Below are 23,354 nucleotides of genomic sequence, written 5' to 3'. Positions count from 1 at the left end.
GCTGGAGGTGATATGGGTATGGAGAAATATAGGCCCTGTCCTCAGAAAGCTCACAATCCAAGTAGGAGGCAGACTTTATTTTTATGCAAGAAATAAGACATAAAGTAATAGACATCTGTCTCATTTGAGAAACAGATGTGGAAAGACTACCTGGATGAAATATCTCTTGAAAACAAGGATTTGGTGTGGTTATGATAAATAATTTTTGTGAAAGGGTGGAAAATGAGCATGTAGAATCAGTAGCAGCCTTGCGATGTTAGAGTTTGAAACTGTATAATTTTAATAGGAGAGTATACATGTGTGAGCATTGATAATTATATTTTACATTACAGAATGCTTCCACATATAGTATTTCAAATGCTTTACATGAATGAGCTCATTAGATCTTTGCTATCACTCTGAAGTAGGTTCTCTTATTATTCCCACACAACATAGGAGGAAACTGAAGGCAAAAGCCACACAGGAAGTCCGTGGTAGAGCTGGAATTCTAGCCCAGTCTCTGAACCCCCAGACACTTCTGCCTTTTAGAGATATGATGGAGTGTACTCTCTGGAAACCAGGGCTATCCTCTCTAAGTACAAGACACTCATGGAAGTGGTGGTCAAAGTGTAACCTCAAGCCCAGGCTTGAATCTTGGACTCACACTAATTCCTGATCCAGATGACAATGCCAGGAATGCAAGCATCATTGTGTTGGTCTGGATGGCTCATGGGATGGGTTCAGATTTTGTGTGTTCAACATTTAAGAGACATTGAATCTAGTGGAAACAGAGATTACATGGAAAATGACCTCACTAGCTAAGGGCTGAAGTTGAAAATGCCTGGCTTGAATTTTGGCTTCACCCCACCCTTTCTTCCTTTCTGGCTGCTTCTATGGCCATGTGGCCCAGTCCCAAGGCTGCTGCAGAGTAGCCTTCTGTGCTCAGGGTGGCAGCTCCTGGCAGCACTCTGTATCTACTCTGCTGTATGGAGGAGGAACTCCCAAATTTCAGTAGCAATATGCAAGATTATCCAAAGACCAGAGAGACTAAGGTAGAGGCATTTATAATATATAACCATGTTTTCCTGTATGAAAAAATTGGAAGAAAATGATGTGACTCATTGAAAATTTTCACTGAAAAGCCCAAATAATTGTAGGGGGTATGGCATTTCTATATCATACAGTATTTTTTCTTTTTTCTTTTTTTTGCCAAAAACTCATATATCTTCTCTACCAGCCTTGTGAAATAGGAAAGTATTCTTTTCCTTTATTGCATATGAGAAAACTGAAACTCAAACAGTGAGTAACAGGCAGAACCAAGCTTTCCAACTGGGATCTTTTTGACCTTTGGTTTAGTACTTTTCATCCTGGTTGGTGCTGCTTTTTCTGGTCTTCTGAATTCAAGCTGAATGCTTGGTCTCCTACTGTGAACTATGGTATTTAATTTATTTATAAGCAAGAATGATGTTCTGCCTGTATGCACTATTTTGACATTTTTGTTGTTAATGAATTCCACCTTACCGATTGGTCAATGACAATGCCATAGTAGTTTTTAAATATTTTGACTAGTCATTCTGTTTTTATGTAAATATTTAATATTTTCTATTACCCTACTTCAAAAAAGATTTATGATAGTCTATAAAAGTATCATAAAATGGTAAGATAATATTATTAGATGTTGATAAAGAAGCAAAAAGAAATACAAAGACAGAAAGATAAATTTTGGCAGAAATGAGACCAACATGAAAGTGTAAATCTTCATCTGAAACACTTCTTAGGGATGAGCCACTTACTAGATTCTAAACCTCCCAGGAGCCAAAGGCAGAAGAAGAGCTGATTTAGTATGTTATGTACTGTGTCTTTAAGAAAAAACAAAACTATGTGTGAAACAAAATCATCTTACTGAGCCCCCTCAAAAAGAGAACACTGTAATTTAATGAGTACCATTTCCACAATCTCTATAAAATACTCAGGACAATAATGAGCTTGAATGGGTCATTTCATAGGCTGCTTGAACCAAGAGGTAGGATGTCCAGCACCAGCCTCTATTTTGCCTTGAGTTGTTTTGTGACCTTCTGAGGCTACTTGCTTTGTCTCCCTTGTTAGATAATAATTTATCTAACATGTGATGCTTGATTCAAATTTTTCCTGAAAAATTACCAAACAATAACTTTTAAAAACTAGAAAAATAAAGGAGTTGAACTACAGTTAAGGAGGTGGGAACATAGTCCTGTTCGAAGTACATTTCTTACATGATTGGACTCCTTCCCCTTGCTATGCCAAAGACATGGGAAGCCAAATGTTTTTCATTACCCTCTGATTTAACAGGTGGAAAATCCTATGGACATTTGTAGAATCCTTGTCAACTTCAGACAGAAGTAGTCAGTGCAATTCTTACACCCATTCATTTTGTCATTCATTCATCCAGCTTTTTATTAGAAATGTATAGACTAGCATTATGTGATTGGCCCTGAGGACATAGAAACAGTTAAGTGCTACCCTGGAAGAGATTATGAATCAAAGAAGGAAACAGAAATACACAGGGAGAATCACAGGGTAATGAGGTAAGCATCGTAGCAGAGATACATACAATGTGGTGAGGAAAGGGGAGAAAAGAACCATTATCACCACCTGGGAAGCTAGGGATGGCTTCCTTTAAGACTTGATGGTTGATTCCAGTCTGGACATAAATTCCCCAAGAGGTTGAGGGTTAGAAGAAGATGATTTATGGTGTGAGAAACATATTAATTGCACAGCAGTGACCAAGAGTAGCAAATGTGTTTGGGCAACAGTAAGCATTTGAAGGATACAGGGTGGAGCTGCTCAAAGGTTTGGGAAGGCTTTTATTCAGTAGAGCTTTAGTACTAAAAGATTTAATATCAGACCACTTTTCCCATAAACCTGTTAAGAATCCATGTCTCTCATTACTACATTTTAAAAGAAAAAATTTACTAAACATATGGTTTATTTAAAGTTTAAGAAGGGGTTTTCTTATTTGTGTTTATTTGTATTCATTAAGGCTCTGAGAAAGAGAAAAAGCATCAGAAGCACAGAGAGTGTACTGGATCCATGCAGGACTGTTGGATGGCCATGAATCAAAGGCCTAAGCAAGTGACTGCCCATTTCCCCTTAGATATAATGCTTTAAGAAAAAAATTCAAGCAACGGCATATAATGTTACGTCTTCCATGATGCACTTCTCCCCTTGGTAAGGAGTGTTGGGCTTTAGTTTCGTGTTTTGGGCTTGCATCAACTCTACTCTGTATGATTAATATGAAGTTCAAATGGCCAAGAAAGAATGTGCTGCCTCCAATTCAGTTGCATAGGCATTCATCCCAAAACTGTATATTTGCAAAAGTCACACCATGAGTTAATTTTTTTTTAAAGCAGGAAAATCTCATTGCCAGAAGAATGAAGTGCCTTTGGATTTGTGATTCTATGAGCTACCCTCAAAGTGGGAGGAAAAGCAGAGCCTTTATAGCTATTAATAAGTGGTGTGTATTCTTGAGGTTGAGTTTAAAAACTTAAATCCATGCTGGAACTTAATAACCTCTGAAGATTTAGAACACATCATTCAACATTTTCAACTTCATCAGTAGCATTGGAATCAATATAAGTGCCAGGAGACTTGCTATATAAATAAATTTAAGAAGTCCAAAGAAATGAATGGACTGTAGATGTGTATAGCACAAATAATTGGCTGGATATACAAATTTAATTCTCCTTAAAATTTGGGGGTAAAGTCCTTTTCATTTGCCTTAGGATACAATTTTTCAAGCAGAATGAAAGAAGAGGGAGTCTTTTACTTACTGTCATAAGAGTTCCTAGACTCAGAGGTCTATGCTCATATCTCCTGTTTGCTAAAATTGGATTATCCAAGCCAACTGGTAGACCTAATATTGAGTTTCAGTCAGTTGCCTGAATTTGCCAGATCCCCAAAAGGACTCTGTCACAAGCTAAAGCTCATTAGCTAGCTTCCTTACTGCAATAGTAATTTTCTCTCATTCTATTTAAAGTAACCCTCACTCATGCCATGGTAAATGATTTTACATTGCACAAAATATGCTGAAGCATTCACATTTTGGCTGATCGCAAACCACACAGGAATAGGACTTTATTCTTAAGGAATAGTTTTTGCCTGCCCTGGGTCTTTGTTGCTCACTTTCAGCACTCTTTGCCAACTTAACATTCTCCAAGAAAGTGTAAATCCTACCACGGGAAAACGAGGTGTGGAATATGTGTCTTGGTTGATGACATCACCTTCTGGTTAGGGCTGTAAATTACATGAGCCTATGCATACAGATACTGGCTTCTAAGGTGCTAGGTTTTATAGCTGTATATTTTGAGCTTGGAAATTCATCATTTAAGGAATGGAGATGATCCCTTCTGCCCAGCAGAGAGCCATTCTGGGATCTTAAGGGAGTGCATTGGCCCAGAAGTCCAATGAATAGGAGGTTTTACATGTAACAAAGCTACTGATTTTGGCCAAATGCTTGTGATTGGCTTATTATAAGTCCCCATTATAAAATTCTGATAAAATAGCTAATGACTACATGTGCTACCTTACCCTCAGGAAGGGGCTACCCTCATTAAGTGATTTCAGGATCCCAAAGAAGGTCATTAAGCTAGTACATGCCTAAACATCTATCATAAGATAGTCTCCATACCTTATTGCCAATTCCCTTAGAAAGGACCACTGTTGAAGTCCCTTTTAGTGCACTAGTTATTAACTGTAAGTGATAGTGTCCTCAGGGGGACATTTGGGAAAGTCTGGGACATTTTTAGTTGTCACCACTGGAGAAAGAGGATGCTACTGGCATCTGGTGGGGAGAGGCCAGGAGTGCTGCTAAGAATCCTACAATGCACAGGACAGCACCCCTGTCACTCACAACAAAGAATTATCCAGCCCGAAATATCAACAGTGGTGAGACGGGGAACCCCTGTCTTAGTGTAAATGAGGGATGTGAGGGGTTTATTGAAGAGGGAAGATGGTAGACGGAAACAGCATGAGGAATATGGACCCTTGTGTGGAAAGTTAGGAAGCCCTAAGCACAGAGTCAGAACATAATGGAGTGTCTCATTCTACCGATGGTCAGCCCTAGACCTTTGCTGGAAAATTATAGTTTTCAGGATCTTTTTAGAGCTCAGAGAGAATGAAATGAAACAAAAAGTAGCATGGCCTCAGGTTCTATTCTGAGCTGGCAGAGTCCAGCAGAAAGATGTTTCAGTAGAGAGAATACAGAATGCAAGACCCAGGTGACAGGCCTGCAGCAACCCCAATGCAGTGAGGGCTGTCAGATTCCATGCAGAAAAACTGGACACACAAAATCTCTTCCCTAACTAGTTGTATGTTCTCTCTTTGTAGCAAACACAAATTATCAGTATTAATCTAGTCAGTTGTACATGGCATTCCAAACTAGTGGGAAGTATTGCGTTCTTCTTCTTCCTAGTTTGTGGATGATAGATTCAGAACTCTCAGATATCCATAGACCTCTCTAAGGAGTAACAGTGGATGAAGCATGGAGAACAACCATTTTCCCCAGGCAAATTCTCCAAAAGTGGTGCATATTCAATAGTTTTCAACAGAGGCTGATATGGCAGTTGTTTACTGGATCATGATAAGAAGATATTAGCAGAAGCAATGGAAAGCAAGGCTGGGAGACATGTGGAGAAGGTGTTTTTTGCAGGCTTGCTTCTCCCCACCTACTGAAAACACATGCCTGCTTCAAGACTTATTCTGTTGATAATTTAAACTTGTCCAAATCCCTATTGTCCCTGCAAAATTCTATCAGCGGCATCCATGGTGATGCGCCAACTTCTTCTTAAGCCAGATCATGCCATAGCTCTCTTTTTACTTCCTGTTTGTTCATAAAGAAACTGTCCAGACCTTCTTTGGTGTTTTTTGTTTTTTTTTTTTTTTTTTTTGCTCAGATGTCAGCTACATGAAGTCACATTGTAACCGCAAAGAGACTCTGTGCTTGTGCCGCTGCCTGGTGTTAACAAAGCTCTAATGCTGCTTGGCGTGAAGGAGGCTAGTCATTGTGGCCAAACTTCTGAGAGGTGCACGGGGCCAAATGTCGGACTGCCAATTAAGCAGCAAGGTGGAAAATTCTTGCCTTCCTTTTGGCTCAGATGAGCTGGCTGGGAAAGAAATTAAAATGAAACAGGCAATAAGAAGAGAGATTTTATTTTTAATGTATTTGAGTAGTATGAGAAGTGCAAACATTACTATCCTATTGATAACCACACATCGCACTCTCCACACACATACAGCACATGCACACATATGCAATGAAAGGACTCTAAGAAACTGTCTCTTTGGCATTCAGTTGCTAGAGCTCCAAGTTGAGCAAATCTGCTTAAGAAGAAAAGCAATTTACACCCCAGGTCAATGGCTTAACCTCTGTCCACATGGCCCTGTTAACACAATCTATCTTTGAGGATTCAGAGTGAATTATAGAGTCATAGAAATCTATTTTTAGCAATAATAGTAATTATACATATGCATAGTGATTTAACTATTACAGAGAATATACACATGCATTTTCTTGTTAGATCTTCACAACAACATCATTCCTTCATTCATTAAAGGTTTACTATGTGTCAGGCACTGGGTTCATGAGATTAACTGGGAAGTGAGATCAAATAATGTGGTTATAATCATACAACTTCTAAGTAGAACAACCTGCATGGAAACCTGCCTTCTAACCCTCAGTCACACATTTTTTCAACAAGCTATATATTACAATTTCTGCTTCCATTCATACTTGGCATTTAGCTTACGTAGGGCTGATGAGTGGAGCCTCTGACTTAATAAGACAGTGATCTTATGGCCCCCTTGTCCCACATGGGACAATTGTAGCCTAGTGAGGGTTCTTTAGGCTTTTCCCAGTGAATGTTTGTTTTTTTTTTTTTTTTTTGAGAGCTACTGCCTGTGGTTCTCAACATTTCATGCATATGGGTAAATAGTGGGAGTGGATGATTTTATTATATTTTACAAATGGCCAAATTCCACATTCAATATTCCATAGTTCTATGGGCAGATTTATTTATTTATTTGAGACAGGGTCTCACTTTGTCATCCAGGCTGGAGTACAGTGGTGTAATCTCGGCTCAATGCAACTTCCACCACCCCAGGTTCAAGCAATTCTCTCACATCAGCCTCCTGAGTAGCTGGAGTTACAGGCATGTGCCACCACACACGGCTAATTTTTATATTTATTTTTCTGTAGAGATGGGGTTTTGCCCTTTTGACCAGGCTAGTCTCTGACCTGAAGATATCCGCCTGTCTCAGCCTCCCAAAGTGCTGGGATTATAGGCGTGAGCCATCATGCCTGGCCAGCCATTATGCCCACTGAGATTTATTTTTGGTACAGTTTTTATAAGTAGGCTCTGCAAAAGGGAGATTGTTTTTATTTAGGAAAACTGAATACATCACAAATATGCTGTAGATATTTTGGCTCTTCAGTCCCTGAGATTTTACTTGGACTTGCTAATTTCAGGCCATGTTGACTCCAGGTTGCTTTTTTCACATACACACATCATCCTTTATTCTAAGAATTGAAGAGTTTCCTTTTAAGCCAAAGGCCTATTGAATGGGAAGTTTGGCCCATATTCCACATGTCTGAGTCCTAGCTCTAGAGTCAGTGATTAACATTTCTCTCCCCATCTCTCTCTCCCCACTTCCTCTTTCTTGTCTCCCTCTCTCTCTCTTTCTCCCCACTCATTCATTTATGTCATTCATCTATTAACTTATTCCAAATGTATTAAATGCACATGAATATTTATTGAGTACATATTCTGTGCCAGGTGCTGTAGCAGTCTCTTGAAGATTTAGCAGAAAACAAATTATCCAGTTCTTGGTATGTGATGAGTGTGTGTTTGTGTGTGTGTGTGTATGTGTGTCATGGGGCAAGGCGTCCCTGCATGTGTGTGCATGTGTCAATGTCAATGCATATGTGTGCACTGTCACCTGTATTACTGCTATAATTAATATACAAAAATTCTCAGTTTTGATGCCTCTTAGACCCAAAGTGTAAGAGGAAAACACCTCCTAGGGATATCTTTGGTTCCGATTTCTCTACAACTTTCCCACAATCTGTCCTATAATCAGTTCAACTTAGGAATTATTTTTACTTTCAGACGCATCTTTTCTGTCTTCTAACTTAGATTTATCAATAGATGATATGCTCACATTATTTTTGCTACTTGAAGCATAATTTAAATGACTAATCTCCAAATATTAGACTTCCCTTTCTTATCCTCCCAAGAATATATTGTAGTTAACACTTAATCTTGAAACAAAGAAACAAATAAAAGCTGTGCTGAGAAACACAAAACCAACTCAAAAACTGCCTGGTGAATGACTCCCTGACAGCTTTTTCTTTAGCTACGTGGTGGTAGCAGGTGTTTGGTCTGGATAACCAGGGAGTTCCCATACGTTATGCTAGTTTTCAATGTAGCTTCCAAACACGACTTTATGCTAATATCCAGGTAGATTGTAGCCAATGTCAGTGTCTTCCAGTTGCTCTGCCCAAGTGAAGCAGAGGCGTTCATTCCAGACCATTTCTCTGTGTTCCCGTCCATCCAGCTCCAGCCAGGGAGCTAGGCTGATTTTGAGGACAAACTACTGGCAATTGGCTTTCTGACTTCTGCAGTAATGCTTTTCTAACTATTTGTGCTTGGACCTTTTCTCTATTCAGTTAACTAACACATTCTGCCTAAAATAATCATCCTAACATTATTCTGTTTTTCCTGCTCACCCAAAATCTTCAGGTACCATCAAATCCATTAATTAGCCATATGCCACCTATGTATTAAGACTAGAATTGCCTTCTATTAGGAGAACATTAGCATACACTATGCTATTTTATCCACCAGTCTTGTGAGTTAGGCATTGGCTTCATACATATTTTAAAGAAAAAGAAAAAGCCATCAGCTAAAGCAGGCTCTGGACTCCATTTTATATCACCTTCTGTAAGATCCTCCACTGAGTTACAGCAAAGATGGAGAGGGAGGGCAAAGGTGTCCACTGAAGAACAAAAGAGCATGGGATAGGGGCTGTGTTGAGATCTTTCAGCATCCCAAGGGTAGCTCTGCATTGAGAAATTTTTGCAAGTTTGAGGACATGTGTTACTAACAGACACAGATGGGTAATGGCCTTGATGAGTGTGTAAACATCTAGAAGTGAGAAGTAAAAGCATACTCTAAGTTGGAGTCTGTACAGCACTAGATCATGTGCAGTTTGTTGTCAGAGTTTTAAGTTACAAGATTGAAGCATGAACTATTTTCTAGGCCTTCTTGCCGAGAACTAGGAAAGGAAATTAGGATGAAGCAGGGCTGCCTAATGTCCTGAGCTGTACCCTGTGAGTTCCTGAAGGGCTCTCCATTCCTGTGATGACAGATGCAATAGCTACATCCAACCAAGGCCGTCCTGGGGAGAACCATAGGCAGACAAGGTAACACAATGCTTAATAGCATGGGTTCAAATCCTGGCTCTGCCTCTTCCAAGGGATATGACTGCGCAGGTGAATCAACTTGTCTGGGCTTCCATTTCTTCCTCTATAAAATGTAAATAATAACCCGCTCAGGGAGTGTAATGAAGACTAAATCAGGTAATCTCTGTTAAGAACTAAGCAGAGCAATTGACATTACATGTTCAATTAATAGTTATTGAAAAACATTTTAAAATAATTTTAGATTCTATCTTAGATTCAGGGGATACATGTGCAGGTTGGTTTCTTGGGTATATTGTGGGATGCTGAGGTTTAGGGTATAATTGATCACATTAACCAAGTACTGAGCTTCGTACCCAATAATTAGTTTTTCAGCCCTTGCCTCATCCCTTTCTCCACCCTCTAGTAGTCCCCAGTGTCTACTGTTTCCATCTTTATGCCATGAATATCCATTGTTTAGCTCCCGCTTAAAGTAAGAACATGTGGTATTTGGTTTTCTGTTCCTGCATTAATTCACCAAGGATAATGGCCCCCAGGTGTATCCATATTGCTGCAAAGGACATGTATTTATTCTTTTTCATGACTACATAGTATTTCATCATGTAAATGTACCACATTTTCTTTATCCAGCCCACCATTGATGAACACACAGGTCGATTCCATGTCTTTGTTATTGTGAATAGTGCTGTGATGAACATGTGAGTGCATGTGTATTTTTGGTAGAATGATATATTTTCTTTTGAATATATACCCAGTGATGGGATTTCTCATTCAAATGGTAGTTCTGTTTTGAGTTCTTTGAGAAATCTTCAAGCTGCTTTCCACAGTGACTGAGCTAATTTACATTTTCACCAAAATTGTATAAGCTTTCCCTTTTCTCTTGCAGCCTTGCCAGCATGTGTTGTTGTGTTTTGAAAAACATTTTTAAAAGGCTGCCATATTTTACCACTGATGTACTCTTCTCTCATCCTGACTTAGGCTAGGGAGATGCTTTGGGAGACTTCACTTTGGTCTCTCATTCCTGGCCTACACACAGAAGTACACAGAACTGTCTCAGGCAAAACTGGTTGAAGCGGCAGTGGTCCTTTTTTTACAAGTTAGGAATTTGTTGGCTGGTATGGCTGGGAAAGACATGACTGCCTTGCAGAAAAAAGAAGCACTCAGGAGCCAGCATCCCTGGGCTGGACTCTGGGTCCTGAGGAGACAGGGATTTCCTCCACTGCTGTCTCTCATTTCTGCTGCCCCTGGTGTACTGGCCTTACTGTCTCCAATTGTAGGTGGGCTTTCTCCCCAGAGGAGGGAATGTGTTCATAGGTAGCCTCACATCAACAATTCTTGCAGAAGACAAAATAGGGTGTGATTTTTGATAATGAATTATTCAAGGTCCCAAAAAGAAAGTGGATGACTCTTTTCAACCAGAGTGATAAAAGGAAGGTTTAGTAAAGGAGCTATTTACAAAGGTGTGTGCAGGACGTAGGTAGGGTGACTCACCATCCAGTTTGCCCAAGACTGTTTTAGTACTGAGAGCCCTCTCATCCGAATGAGAGGATTTCACAACACTCCATTTCTGCGAAAAGTAGGGTGAGTGGCCATTCTAGGTAAGAAAAACACAAGAGGCTATGCACAAGAGGCTAGTAACAGCAGGGTTGTGGCCACCCCTACTCCTCAATTGACAAACGGAGGGAGCAGTTAATGGAACTTGGGAGGAGTGTGTTGTATTGAGGGGCCCACTGCAAGGAGCACTGGTCTTTGGTGAGGGACCCAAGCAGCCTAAGGCAGCCCTGAAAGAAGGAAGTCAGGGAGATAAAAGCCCTGAACTTGCTTTCCTTCTTTTCTCCCATCTTCAAGAGTTTCAATTTCAAATCAAAGAACATGCTGGAGTGTTGTCATGAAAAGCAGATTCAAAACTGGTCACTTAGTTCACTCATTTTACACCAGTTTAATGAATACCAGTAGGTCAAGTTCTATATTATGTGCTGGTGTTTAAACAAAGGCACCTATACCAGGAGCTAAGGTGGGGAACATGGAGCCCAAGATAGAGGTGGCTGTAGTGAAGAATAGGTGCATGGTATGATGGGTGAGGCCAGGTGGATTAGGCACCACTGAGGAAGAAATATCTGGAATTTATAGCTCTGGGTCCCTGGGATTATCTTCAGAAATGGTGTTTTGTGCATGTATTTCTTTTTAAGGTCTATACTCTGTTCCTGGGGCCATGACCTTCTTCTAATTCAAGATGCAGGCTGCCTCAGAACATAGCAACCAATGAGATTATTGCTTGTTGCTATCATCAATAGAATGCGTTAAGATTATATCTTGACTCCCAATATGTAATTACTACTGACACCCACTTCCTAACTCCCTCAGGATAGGTATGTTTTATATATTATATCATGTAATTTTCATGAAAAATTATGATAAACATATTTTCCTGGTTTAAGAGGCTCAGGGACTGGGTAATTTTTCCAAAGTTGTACCTAAACAAGGACAGGAATCCAGGACTGATTACCCCTCACATTCCTTCTCTTTTCATTGTATCAGCTCAACTCATTTAATTCATGCAAGATATAGATAAATACTATGCTAGGGTCCTGTTTGAATTTCTATGGCAGAAAAAGACAGAACCTGTGACATGACCCTATATCTGCTATGTAATTGATCAGGCAAGTATTAGTGAAAGGAACTACAGGATGTGGTAGGTCACCATGCAGCACATGGCCATTTCTGTGGCTGGAGCAATAGCAGGGGGTGTAATGGCATTCTCCTCCTGCAGTGCACCCCAGATGTCAGCACAAAGTAGGCAATTCCTGCAAACAGTCCCCTGGAGCCAGGGCCGAGGTCCTTGATTGTGGCTATCCTTCTCCTGCTAATGACTTTTTCAAGCTACTTTCCCTCTCTCTACCTCTGTTCCCTGATTGCTGGGGGCTTTTCCAACTCTTTTGCTCAACCTCATTAAGAAATGCATGGATATATTTTTCTATACCAGCATTTAAGTATTTCCCCCATGATCCGTAGGAATGGTTTCCTGGAAAGACTTTGCATGGATTTTCCACTGCCTGCTGCCCTTACTAGCACTTGGGAAACTGCTATTTTTTTCTTCCTGGTTGCATTTGCCACTTACCCTACTGAAAACAGAAATTAAGACTTTAGACAGCTGCTTACTACATAAAATTTTCAAATAAAATATTCCTATTATATTCTCTTAGGGAAAAAGTTCACTCGATTAGATTAGCAAAACTAACATAAATATGAAGTAATGCCAGTGGCTGCTTGCAGAAGGTGTTTTTAACTTTCCATTTGACTTAAGCGTCCAGTGCATTGAGGTGTCTGTGACACTCTGTTCTGTGTCACATTTGTGAGCAGGATGATGTTGTAATGCTCCCGTAATGGCTAATATTATGTTAATGGAGATGGATGCCAATGTGTACACATATATATTTAGTCAGGTGGAGGCATTCCCAACTTGTAATGTAATCTGTGTGGTTTAAGAATTCACACATAAAAATGGAACAAGGAGGATTCAGCTGTGATTCTGGACTCTGCCTTTGCCCTTGTAGGAATATTTGACATTATTCTCTCACAATGGCCATTTTTCACTCTCTTGAGGAGAAAACAAAAATACTCCAACTAAATTAATGAATGTTTAGAACTCCAGTTCAGTCTTTCAAAAGGTCTAGGATGGTGCTGGGGAGGTGAAGTTGTCTGTGAGGTGGGATGGCAGGTCACTTCTCCTGGATGTGGTCTACTTGGTCACAGCCACATGACACTGAGCAAAAGGGGTAAGTGGGACAATACCAGGATAATCCAGGGGATTAACCTACCTCCTTCACCTGTGTAAGCAAGAACAGAAAGATAAAGGATCAGGAGTAAAAGACTTACCTCTGCTGCAGACTTCTTAGGTGGCTTTGGAGGAATCACTAAACTTCTCAATTTTCTCATCTATCAAAAACTTGGGACCCTCTGCTGTGGCCTTCCTCTGAGTTGTTCAAATAAAACAATTCTGTGAAAGTGCTGGTATCAATGAAATGATTTACAAAATGATGGGATTATGTAAAACAGTGACTGAAGTGGATAACTGGAGCTTGCAGAGCCCTCTCTGACCCAAGGCCAGATGTTTGCGTAACCTCTCCCTGGGTCAGCAGGCCTATGCAACACTTCTGGAGGAGGCATCGTGCAACACCACCTTTCTGTTACAACCCCACCTCCAATTCCTATCTCAGCCATCTGCGGCATATCTGACATGTTTGAAGAGCAGACACCTCTTACCAGACACTTTCTTATAATGTTACAGGATCATAATTTTAAATTATAGAACACAGAATCCAATCATTTTTATAGTCAGTAAATCTCATGTGGAAGCAGAAATGCCTCCTGATGCACCAAAATGTCAGTCTCTGAAGGCTCCTTTCCCCATGTAGAGGATGCCATGGGAGTCAGTCTTCCTGGCTAGATTTTTTTCTTCTCCTGTGTGGCATGCCTTTATTCTTGCTAATCCTGATATTTGTCTTCCAAAGCCTTGCACGTAGGCATCATCTCTACAACTTCTGAGATTCACAGGCCATGTTTATATTTTGCATCATGGAGATGATAGATTTTTAAAATTTCCTCTGACTCTAACATTCACAGCCATATAACTTGGTAGAAGTCACCTAGTCCAGTCCGGGCCTGGGCCACCCTCATGAGAAGTCAGTGAGATGAGATTTTGTGATCTATAGAATAAAGGAGAAGATGGAATCTGGACACAAATTATACAGATAATTGAGGGTATTTTGACCAAGATAGCCCTTGCATCTGAGTGAAGAATCAGGAAGATTTTATGTCTGAATGAGTAACAGTTAATTTGGCCTTCTCATTCACTTTGTGTAGATGCATGCCTATATAAGTGAGATTCCAGGAGGCAAGCAGGTAGTTTTAGCTAGATTCAAGAAAGAACGTCCAACAGTGAGAATGAGGTGCAATTTCATGGGCTACATGAAAGGCAGGGCCCACTTTAACACAGGAATGGTTTGATGAGAGCTGTACAATCAGCTGGCAAAGATGTTATAGCTATAATTTTCATTGGGATAGAAAGTATTGGAGTAGAGGTTGAATCAAACATTCTAGGCAGTTGCTTGCAAGGCTGAGATATTTTCACTCACTAAATAGGTGGCCAGAGGAGTAGTTCTCTCTCAGAAACACACACACATGCCACCACCACCATCACCACCACAAGGCGCAGAAGCTTTGTACAAGTTCTAAAACTTAAAGCCTCTCCATAGAGATCAGACCCCTGCCCAGGAAAACACTGAACAATGGCAGATATTCAAGGGAATTTTGCTTATTGGTAATTAGCTAACTTGTTTGTCAGAAGACCAGTACGAAAGGAGGAAAGAAGACATCTTTGCAGGGGGAGGAGAGGGAGGGAAGATACAAGAAAACAACTAGGAGACACATTTTACCTTTTGGCCTTATTCAAACACTGTGTAGTGGGCCCCAGGAATCTAGTTCTGGAGCTAGTCCATCAAGTAAGCCTTCGAAAAGTTTGCACAAAAGATTCTTAAGTAAGCTCATAAATGTGACACCAAGCAAATACTTGGCAAAATTTAGCCAAGTCATAAAAAAAGTTGCTGGGGCCATACAGCAACATTACCTGAGCTGGAAAAAGCTTGTCTGTAGGGCTTCTCTACCCATAATTAGGGATCAGGTAAGTGACAGAGATTTCAAGCTTTATTTAATTTGGTCCTGGACCAGTTCTTTCTGGTCTCTAGACTCTTGTCATAAAGGGGAACCAATATAAAATAGGACAAGACCAAAGAAAACATGTGAACTTTTTATTATAGAAATGTGAACTTTTTATGGAAGAATCTGGCCTGATGTGAACACATCACTGCTGTGGAAGCTGGGCACTGGGCTCCAGGTCATGGGCTGTTCTTGGAATTATCTTGACTGCATTCTTCTCTCAATTATTTTGTTTGTAATTAAATAACTAGAATCTTCTATTCAGTCCCTGATCAGAAATGGTCACTGCCAGAGAAAGTAGATGTGGAGGATGGCTCAACCTGACATTATAAAAACCTGAGTATTAGTTTCTTAGGCTGCCGTAACAAAGTACCACAAACTGAGTGGCTTAAGTAACGCACATTTATCATCCAACAGCTCTGGAAGCTGGAAGTCTGAGATCTACATGTTGGCAGGGATGGTTCCTTTGAGGGGCTGTGAGGGAGCAGCTGTTTCATCCCTTTCACTGAATTCCTAGTGGTTTTCTGGAAGTCTCTGGTGTTCTTCGGCATGTTGAAGCAGCATCCTGGTCTCTGGCTTCATCTTCACATGATGTTCGCCTTGTGTGTGTCTATGTCCAAATTCCTCCTTCTCATAGAGGACACTGTCATCTTGGGTTAGGCCTTCCTAATGACCTCATTTTTACTTGATTACCTCTAAAAAATGCCTATCTCCAAATAAGGTCACATTGTGAGGTACTGCGGGTTAGAACATCACCATGTGAATTGGGGGTGTGGGAGGGGTACAGTTCCACCAATAACAACCTGATTTCTAAAGCCAAAACAGAAGGGAGATATTGTTCATTGAAGTTTTTAATCCTGTGGAAAGAAATAATTTACAAAGCCCTGGTGAAGATGATGATTATAGCACTTCAGAAGCACCACTTTAATAATCTACTTTTGTGTGTTATTAGGCTTATTGTTCATTGCCCCCTGTGTAAAAAGTCTCATTTGAGAAATTTATAGTATAGGTAATGCCAAGAAAGACCTAGGTTGACCTCATCCTTTTTGATAATAAGGACTAAGTAATTTACCACGTTTCATTTCTTTCTGAGGTTACCTTCTAGTAAATCTCAGAGCCAAACGTGGTACTCAGTCCTGGTTCCTTCATTTATTTCTCCCTCTTTTGTTGAACTTGGTTTTCAGTTCCTGTTTTTCTGCTTTTGCACGTGATCTTAATGTGCCTCTGGCCAGCTGTATCCCAGACTTACTGGAGAGAGATGGGTGCACTTTGATGCAGTGAAAAGACCAACCCCAATGTCACTACTGCCTCTTCTGCTTACAACTCCTGGAGCTACCATCCATTTATGTCCTTCTCAGTGAGGTTTGCCCAAGCATTTGGTAAACTATATCTTTCAATTTACCTCCAAGCTTCCATCTCCCTGCCAGAGCTTTTGAAAACAGTGGTTAACCCTGCTTAGAGCATGGAGCTGTTCACTCCCTTGAGTCAGATTTTTATTTGAAAAGAAATTCAGCCTTAATAGTGCAGTACCACAAAATACAAAAGCAACTTCTTTGTGTGACAAACAACAATGAATGAGCAAAATGTCCTGTTTGTGCTTAAACAATCTTTGGAGAAGACAGCTGTCGTTTCTCTGAGACAGGAGACATCTAAAATACAGGGAAACACACACACCACCACCACCACCACTAATACTAACAATAACAAACTATGAATTCATAGTTCAATGTTTTTTTGGGGTTCCTTTGTATCACACTGAGGGGATCATAAAATAAAATATTTGATTAAAATCTTTAATTTATGAATACCTCATTAGGCATCTGAAACTGGAATTTACCTCAAGAATTTTACTTGGGGTTTGACATTTTTTGAATCATAACATGGGATTGTGAAGTTTAGTCACTGTTGATTCAAGTTTGCGGACAACAATAAAATGAAGAGGCTTAGTTCTTAGCACATTGAATTAGGGATTCAAACTCTGTGTGTTTGTTCTGTGTTGCAAACTCATTTGTCCATTGGATTTTTAAGATCTAAATTGGTATTTAGCTACACCTATACCCTTTTCAGTTTATTAAAATTTATAAATCATATATTTTTATTTCTAGAAAGTCTTTTTGCTTGGTCTCTAAATGACTTGCTTTCAGAGTATATCTTATTTTTAAAGTTCTTTTTGAACTCTTGCATCTATTCAATGTCAGTAGAAGTCATCTCTTCTAAAGGCACATCCTTATCCCTGAAAATCCTTAAATATGTTGTTATAAATTTTTTTGCTTGCTCATTTTTCTCTATAATTAATTTCAGCAAAGGCACCATCAGGTTGGAAGGTCTGTGAAAGAGTAGGGAGCAAGAGAAGGGTGGAAGGCACAGCCATGTCTCCTCCCGTGAGCCAGCTGTGAGCATGCCAGACAACCTGACTCTGCTGCTGGGGCACTAACTGAAGGCCTCTCCACAGCTAGTCTCAGCCTAATAGAGTCAGTGCAGAGGCAATAGGACCCATTTGGCCTGGTCATATTCTAGGAGAATTGACAACCTGTAGCTTCAGTCATGTTTACACCTTCCAGAGAGGATGGTGGGAGAGAAAGGAAATCAGGAAGGCATGCTCAAGTTTCCATCATTTAAATCTCTGTCCAGATTTTGATGAGTTCCAGGAAAAAAAAAAATGGCAGCTGTGAATCGAAAGCATTTTGCACCATGTCAAAGTGGAGTTCATCTTAAAAAATGTATAAATATTCAACATCAAGACACCTACCTGCATAATTCTTTGTGCAAACAAATCAGAAGGAAAAAACTGCAGGCGATCATGTAGATAGGTACAGAAATGTCATTGTTAAGATTTAGGGGGACCAGCAATTCCTAACAAGAACCCTAACAAAAGTGGAAATAAAAAATGAAGATTAGTTATAGACAAAATTTGTTAATAGTTATATATAGTTAGTTATAACATATCAAATATTGAAATGTTAAAGCCATTTTCCATAAAATTAAGAACAAAATGCAGATGGCAGCTATATTTCTCATAAGAAATGCAGCTTTGGAGACGATTTCAACCTTCATAAGACCATAACATAAAATCATTTATAAAATGCTAAAGAAAAAAATCAAAGAATATGAAATCACCTGTGTCAGAAAATACTATTTGAATAAAAACAATTGCTAGCATGCTACATTAGTTTTCTATGCTGGGTAACAAATTATACAAATTTGGAGACTTGAAATGATATGTGGTTATTATCTCACAGTTTCTGTGGATCAGAGTACTGATATAGCTTATTCAATCCTCTGCTGAGGGTCTCATGAGACTACATTCCAGGTGTTAGTCAAGCTGTGTCCTCATCTATAGGCTCAACAGTGGAAGAAACTGCTTCCAAGATCACTCAAGTAGTTGCCAGAATGTATTTCCTTGTAGTTATTGACTATGGCAGCTTGCTACTTCAAAATAAGCAATGGAGAGAGAGAGAGAAAGAGAGAGAGAGAGAGAGAGAATGTCTAGAGTGAATTGACTAGTTAGACACAGTTTTATGTTATCTCACATGCTGAAGAGAGTGACACTTCATTGCCTTTGCAATTGGTCAGAAGCAGGTCACAGTTTCTGCCTATACTCAAGGAGAGGGGGTACATGAATACCAGGAGACAGGGACCATGAAGCCCATCTTAAAGTTCCATACCCCAGGAAAACAGTTTAGCAGTTACTTAAAAAGTTAAACAAAGGATTGTCATATGACCCAGCAATTCCACTTGTACATGCATACCCACAGCAACACTATTCATAATAGCCCAAAGTAAAGACAATCTGTATTAGTCAGGGTTCTCTAGAGGGACAGAACTAATAGGATATATGCATATATGAAGGGGAGTTTATTAAGAAATATTGACTCACACGATCACAAGGTGAACTCTCAAAATATGCCATCTACAAGGTAAGGAACAAGGAAGCCAGTCTGAGTCCCAAAACCTCGAAAGCAGGGAAGCCGACAGTGCAGCTTTCAGTCTGTGGCTGAAGGCCTGAGAGCCCCTGGCAAACCACTGGTGTAAAGTCCAAGAGCCCAAAAGCTGAAGAACTTGGAGTCTGATGTTCGTGGGCAGGAAGCATGCAGCACGGGAGAAAGATGAAGGCTGGAAGACTTAGCAAATCGGCCTCTCCCACCTTCTTCCACCTTCTTCTTCCTGCTTTACTCTAGCCGCACTGGCCGTTGATTGGATGGTGCCCACCCACACTGAAGGTGGGTCTGCCTCTCCCAGTCCATTGACACAATTATTAATCTCCTTTGGCAACACCCTCACAGACACACCCAGGAACAATACTTTGAATCCTTCAATCCAATCAGGTTGACACTTAATACTAAACATACACAATCCAAAGATCCATCAACTGATACATAGACAAAATGTGGTATGTACATACAATTATTCAGTCTTAAAGAATGAAGCAGTATAACATACTGCGACATAAAAGAACCTTGAAAACATCATGCTAGGTGAAAGAATCCAGTCACAACAGGCCATGTATAGTACAATTCTGTTTATATGAAATGTCTAGATCAGTCAAATCCATACAGAAAGAATGTAGATCAGTGACTAAGAGAGGTTGGGGTTGAGAGGAATTGTTCTGACTGACAATAAATACAGGTTTCTTTTCGGAATGAAGGAAACATCCTGGAATTAGATAGTGTTGATGGTTGCACAACGTAGTGAATATACTAAAAGCACTTAACTATTTGTACATCCTCTATGTGTATGTGTGTGTGTTTTTGTTTTTTTGTTTTTTTGTTTGTTTGTTTTTTTAGACAAATTCTCTCTCTCTTGCCCAGGCTGGAGTGTGCAGTGGTGCAATCTCGGCTCACTGCAACCTCCGCCTCCTGGATTCAAGCCATTCTCCTGCCTCAGCCTTCGGAGTAGCTGGAATTACAGGGGCATGCCACCACGTCCAGCTAATTTTGTATGTTTAGTAGAGATGAGGTTTCACCATGTTGGCCAGGCTGGTCTCAAACTCCTGAACTCAAGTGATCCGCACACTTCGGACTCCAAAGTGCTAGGATTACAGGCGTGAGCCACCGTGCCCAGCTTATTTGGACATCTTAAAACGTATGAAAACAAATGTTATGTTGTGTAAATTATATTTGAATTTTTTTAACAACTCTATACCACATACATGCCTAATTAATGTATACATATACAAAATTAACTTTTTTTTAAAACTTTAAGTTCTAGGGTACATGTGCACAACATGCAGGTTTGTTACATAGGTATGCATGTGCCATGTTAGTTTGCTGCACCCATCAACTCGTCATTTACATTAGATATTTGTCCTAATGCTATCCTTCCCCCAGCACCCCACCCCCCAACAGGCCCTGGTGTGTGATGTTCCCCTTCCTGTGTCCATGTGTTCTCATTGTTCAACTCCCACCTATGAGTGAGAACACGCAGTGTTTGGTTTTCTGTTCTTGTGATAGTTTGCTGAGAATTATGGTTTCCAGCTTCATCCATGTCCCTGCAAAGGACATAAACTCATCCTTTTTTATGGCTGCATAGTATTCCATGGGGGGTATATGTGCCACATTTTCTTAATCCAGTCTATCATTGATGGACATTTGGGTTGGTTCCAAGTCTTTGCTATTGTGAGTAGTGCTGCAATAAACATACGTGTGCATGTGTCTTTATAGTAGCATGATTCATAATCCTTTGGGCATATACCGAGTAATGGGATCACTGGGTCAAATGGTATTTCTAGTTCTAGATCCTTGAGGAGTCGCCATACTGTCTTCTACAATGGTTGAAGTAATTTACACTCCCATAAACACTGTAAAGGTGTTCCTATTTCTCCACACCCTCTCCAGCATCTGTTGTTTCCTGACTTTTTAATAATTGCCATTTTAACTGGCATAAGATGGTATCTCATTGTGGTTTTGATTTGTAATTCTCTGATGTACGAGTGATGATGAGCATTTTTTCATGTGTCTGTTGGCTGCATAAATGTCTTCTTTTGAGAAGTGTCTGTTCATATCCTTTGCCCACTTTTTGATGGAGTTGTTTTTTCTTGTAAATTTGTTTAAGTTCTTTGTATATTCTGTATATTAGCCCTTTGTCAGATGGGTAGATTGCAAAAATTTTCTCCCATTCTGTAGGTTGCCCATTCACTCTGATGGTAGTTTCTTTTGCTGTGCAGAAGCTCTTCAGTTTAATTAGATCTCATTTGTCAATTTTGGCTTTTGTTGCCATTGCTTTTTGTGTTTTAGTCATGAAGTCTTCACCCATGCCTATGTCCTGAATGGTATTGCCTCGGTTTTCTTCTAGGGTTTTTATGGTTTTGGGTCTTGAGTTAATTGTTGTATAGGGTATAAGGAAGGGATCCAGTTTCAGCTTTCTACATATGGCTGGCCGGTTTTCCCAGCACCATTTATTAAATAGGGGATCCTTTCCCTATTGCTTATTTTTGTCAGGTTTGTCAAAGATCTGATGGTTGTAGATGTGTGGTGTTATTTCTGAGGCCTCTGTTCTCTTCCATGGGTCTATATATCTGTTTTGGTACCAGTACCATGCTGTCTTGGTTACTGTAGCCTTGTAGTAACAAAGTTTGACAAACATTTTATTTAGTAACAAGTGGTAAAAATTGACAAAAAAAAAGTTTGAAGTCAGGTAACATGATGCCTCCAGCTTTGTTCTTTTGGCTTAGGATTGTCATGGCTATGTGGGCTATTTTTTGGTTCCATATGGAGTTTAATGTAGTTTTTCCAGTTCTGTGAAGAAAGTCATTGGTAGCTTGATGGGGATAGCATTGAATCTATAAATTACCTTGGGCAGTATGGCCATTTTCATGATATTGATTCTTCCTATCTATGAGCATGGAATGTTCTTCCATTTGTTTGTGTCCTCTTTTATTTCATTGAGCAGCAGTTTGCAGTTCTCCTTGAAGAGGTCCTTCATTTCCCTTGTAAGTTGGATTTCTAGGTATTTTATTCTCTTTGTAGCAATTGTGAATGGGAGTTTCACTCATGATTTGGCTCTCTGTTTGTCTGTTATTGGTGTATAGGAATGCTTGTGATTTTTGCACATTGATTTTGTATCGAGACTTTGCTGAAGCTGCTTATAAGCTTAAGGAGATTTGGGGCTGAGACAATGGGGTTTTCTAAATATACAATCATGTCGTCTGCAAACAGAGACAATGTGACTTCCTCTTTTCCTAATTGAATACCCTTTATTTCTTTCTTTTGCCTGATTACCCTGGCCAGAACTTCCAACACTATGTTGAATAGGAGTGGTGAGAGAGGTCATCCTTCTCTTGTGCAGGTTTTCAAAGGGAATGCTTCCAGTTTTTGCCCATTCAGTATGATATTGGCTGTGGGTTTGTCATAAATAGCTCTTATTATTTTGAGATACATTCTATCAATACCTTTTCTGCATCTATTGAGATAATCGTGTGGTTTTTGTCGTTGGTGGTTGGTTCTGTTTATGGGATGGATTACATTTATTGATTTGCGTATGTTGAACCAGCCTTGCATCTCAGGGATGAAGCCGACTTGATCGTGGTGGATAAGCTTTTTGATGTGCTGCTGGATTTGGTTTGCCAGTATTTTATTGTGGATTTTCGCATTGATGTTCATCAATCTCTTTTTTTTTGTTGTGTCTCTGCCAGGCTTTGGTATCAGGATAATGCTGGCCTCTTAAAATGAGTTAGGGAGGATTCCCTCTTTTTCTGTTGATTGGAATAGTTTCAGATGGAATGGTACTAGCTTCTCTTTGTACCTCTGGTAGAATTCGGCTGTGAATCCGTCTGGTCCTGGACTTGTTTTGTTGGTAGGCTATTAATTATTGCCTCAATTTCATAACCTGTTATTGGTCTATTCAGAGATTCAACTTCTTCCTGGTTTAGTCTTGGGAGGGTGTATATGTCCAGGAATTTGTCCATTTCTTCTAGATTGTCTAGTTTATTTGTATAGAGGTGTTTATCATATTCTCTGATGGTAGTTTGTATTTCTGTGGGATCGGTAGTGATATCCTCTTTATCATTTTTTATTGCTGTCTGTTTGATTCTTCTCTCTTTTCTTATTTATTAGTCTTGCTAGCAGTCTATCTATTTTGTTGATCTTTTCAAAAAACCAGCTCCTGGAATCACTGATTTTTTTTGAAGGGTTTTTTGTGTCTCTATCTCCTTCAATTCTGCTCTAATCTTAGTTATTTCTTGCCTTCTGCCAGCTTTTGAATTTGTTTG

The 23,354-nt window shown here is 39.8% G+C and overlaps 1 long non-coding RNA gene across 1 annotated transcript; it reads right to left on the bottom strand.

The window, feature by feature from the left end:
• Window positions 1-15,226: 15,226 nt before the first annotated feature.
• Window positions 15,227-18,894, bottom strand: LOC124907738 (uncharacterized). The gene is made up of 2 exons (XR_007086235.1): window positions 17,898-18,894; window positions 15,227-16,005 (listed from the first exon to the last, which is right to left on the bottom strand). It is a non-coding gene; the product is annotated as an uncharacterized LOC124907738 (long non-coding RNA).
• Window positions 18,895-23,354: the final 4,460 nt, after the last annotated feature.

The sequence above is a fragment of the Homo sapiens genome, chromosome 2 (genome assembly GCF_000001405.40).
Source record: "Homo sapiens chromosome 2, GRCh38.p14 Primary Assembly".
In the NCBI taxonomy this organism is placed as follows: domain Eukaryota; kingdom Metazoa; phylum Chordata; class Mammalia; order Primates; family Hominidae; genus Homo; species Homo sapiens.
This window is presented reverse-complemented; position numbering and strand designations above follow the sequence as displayed.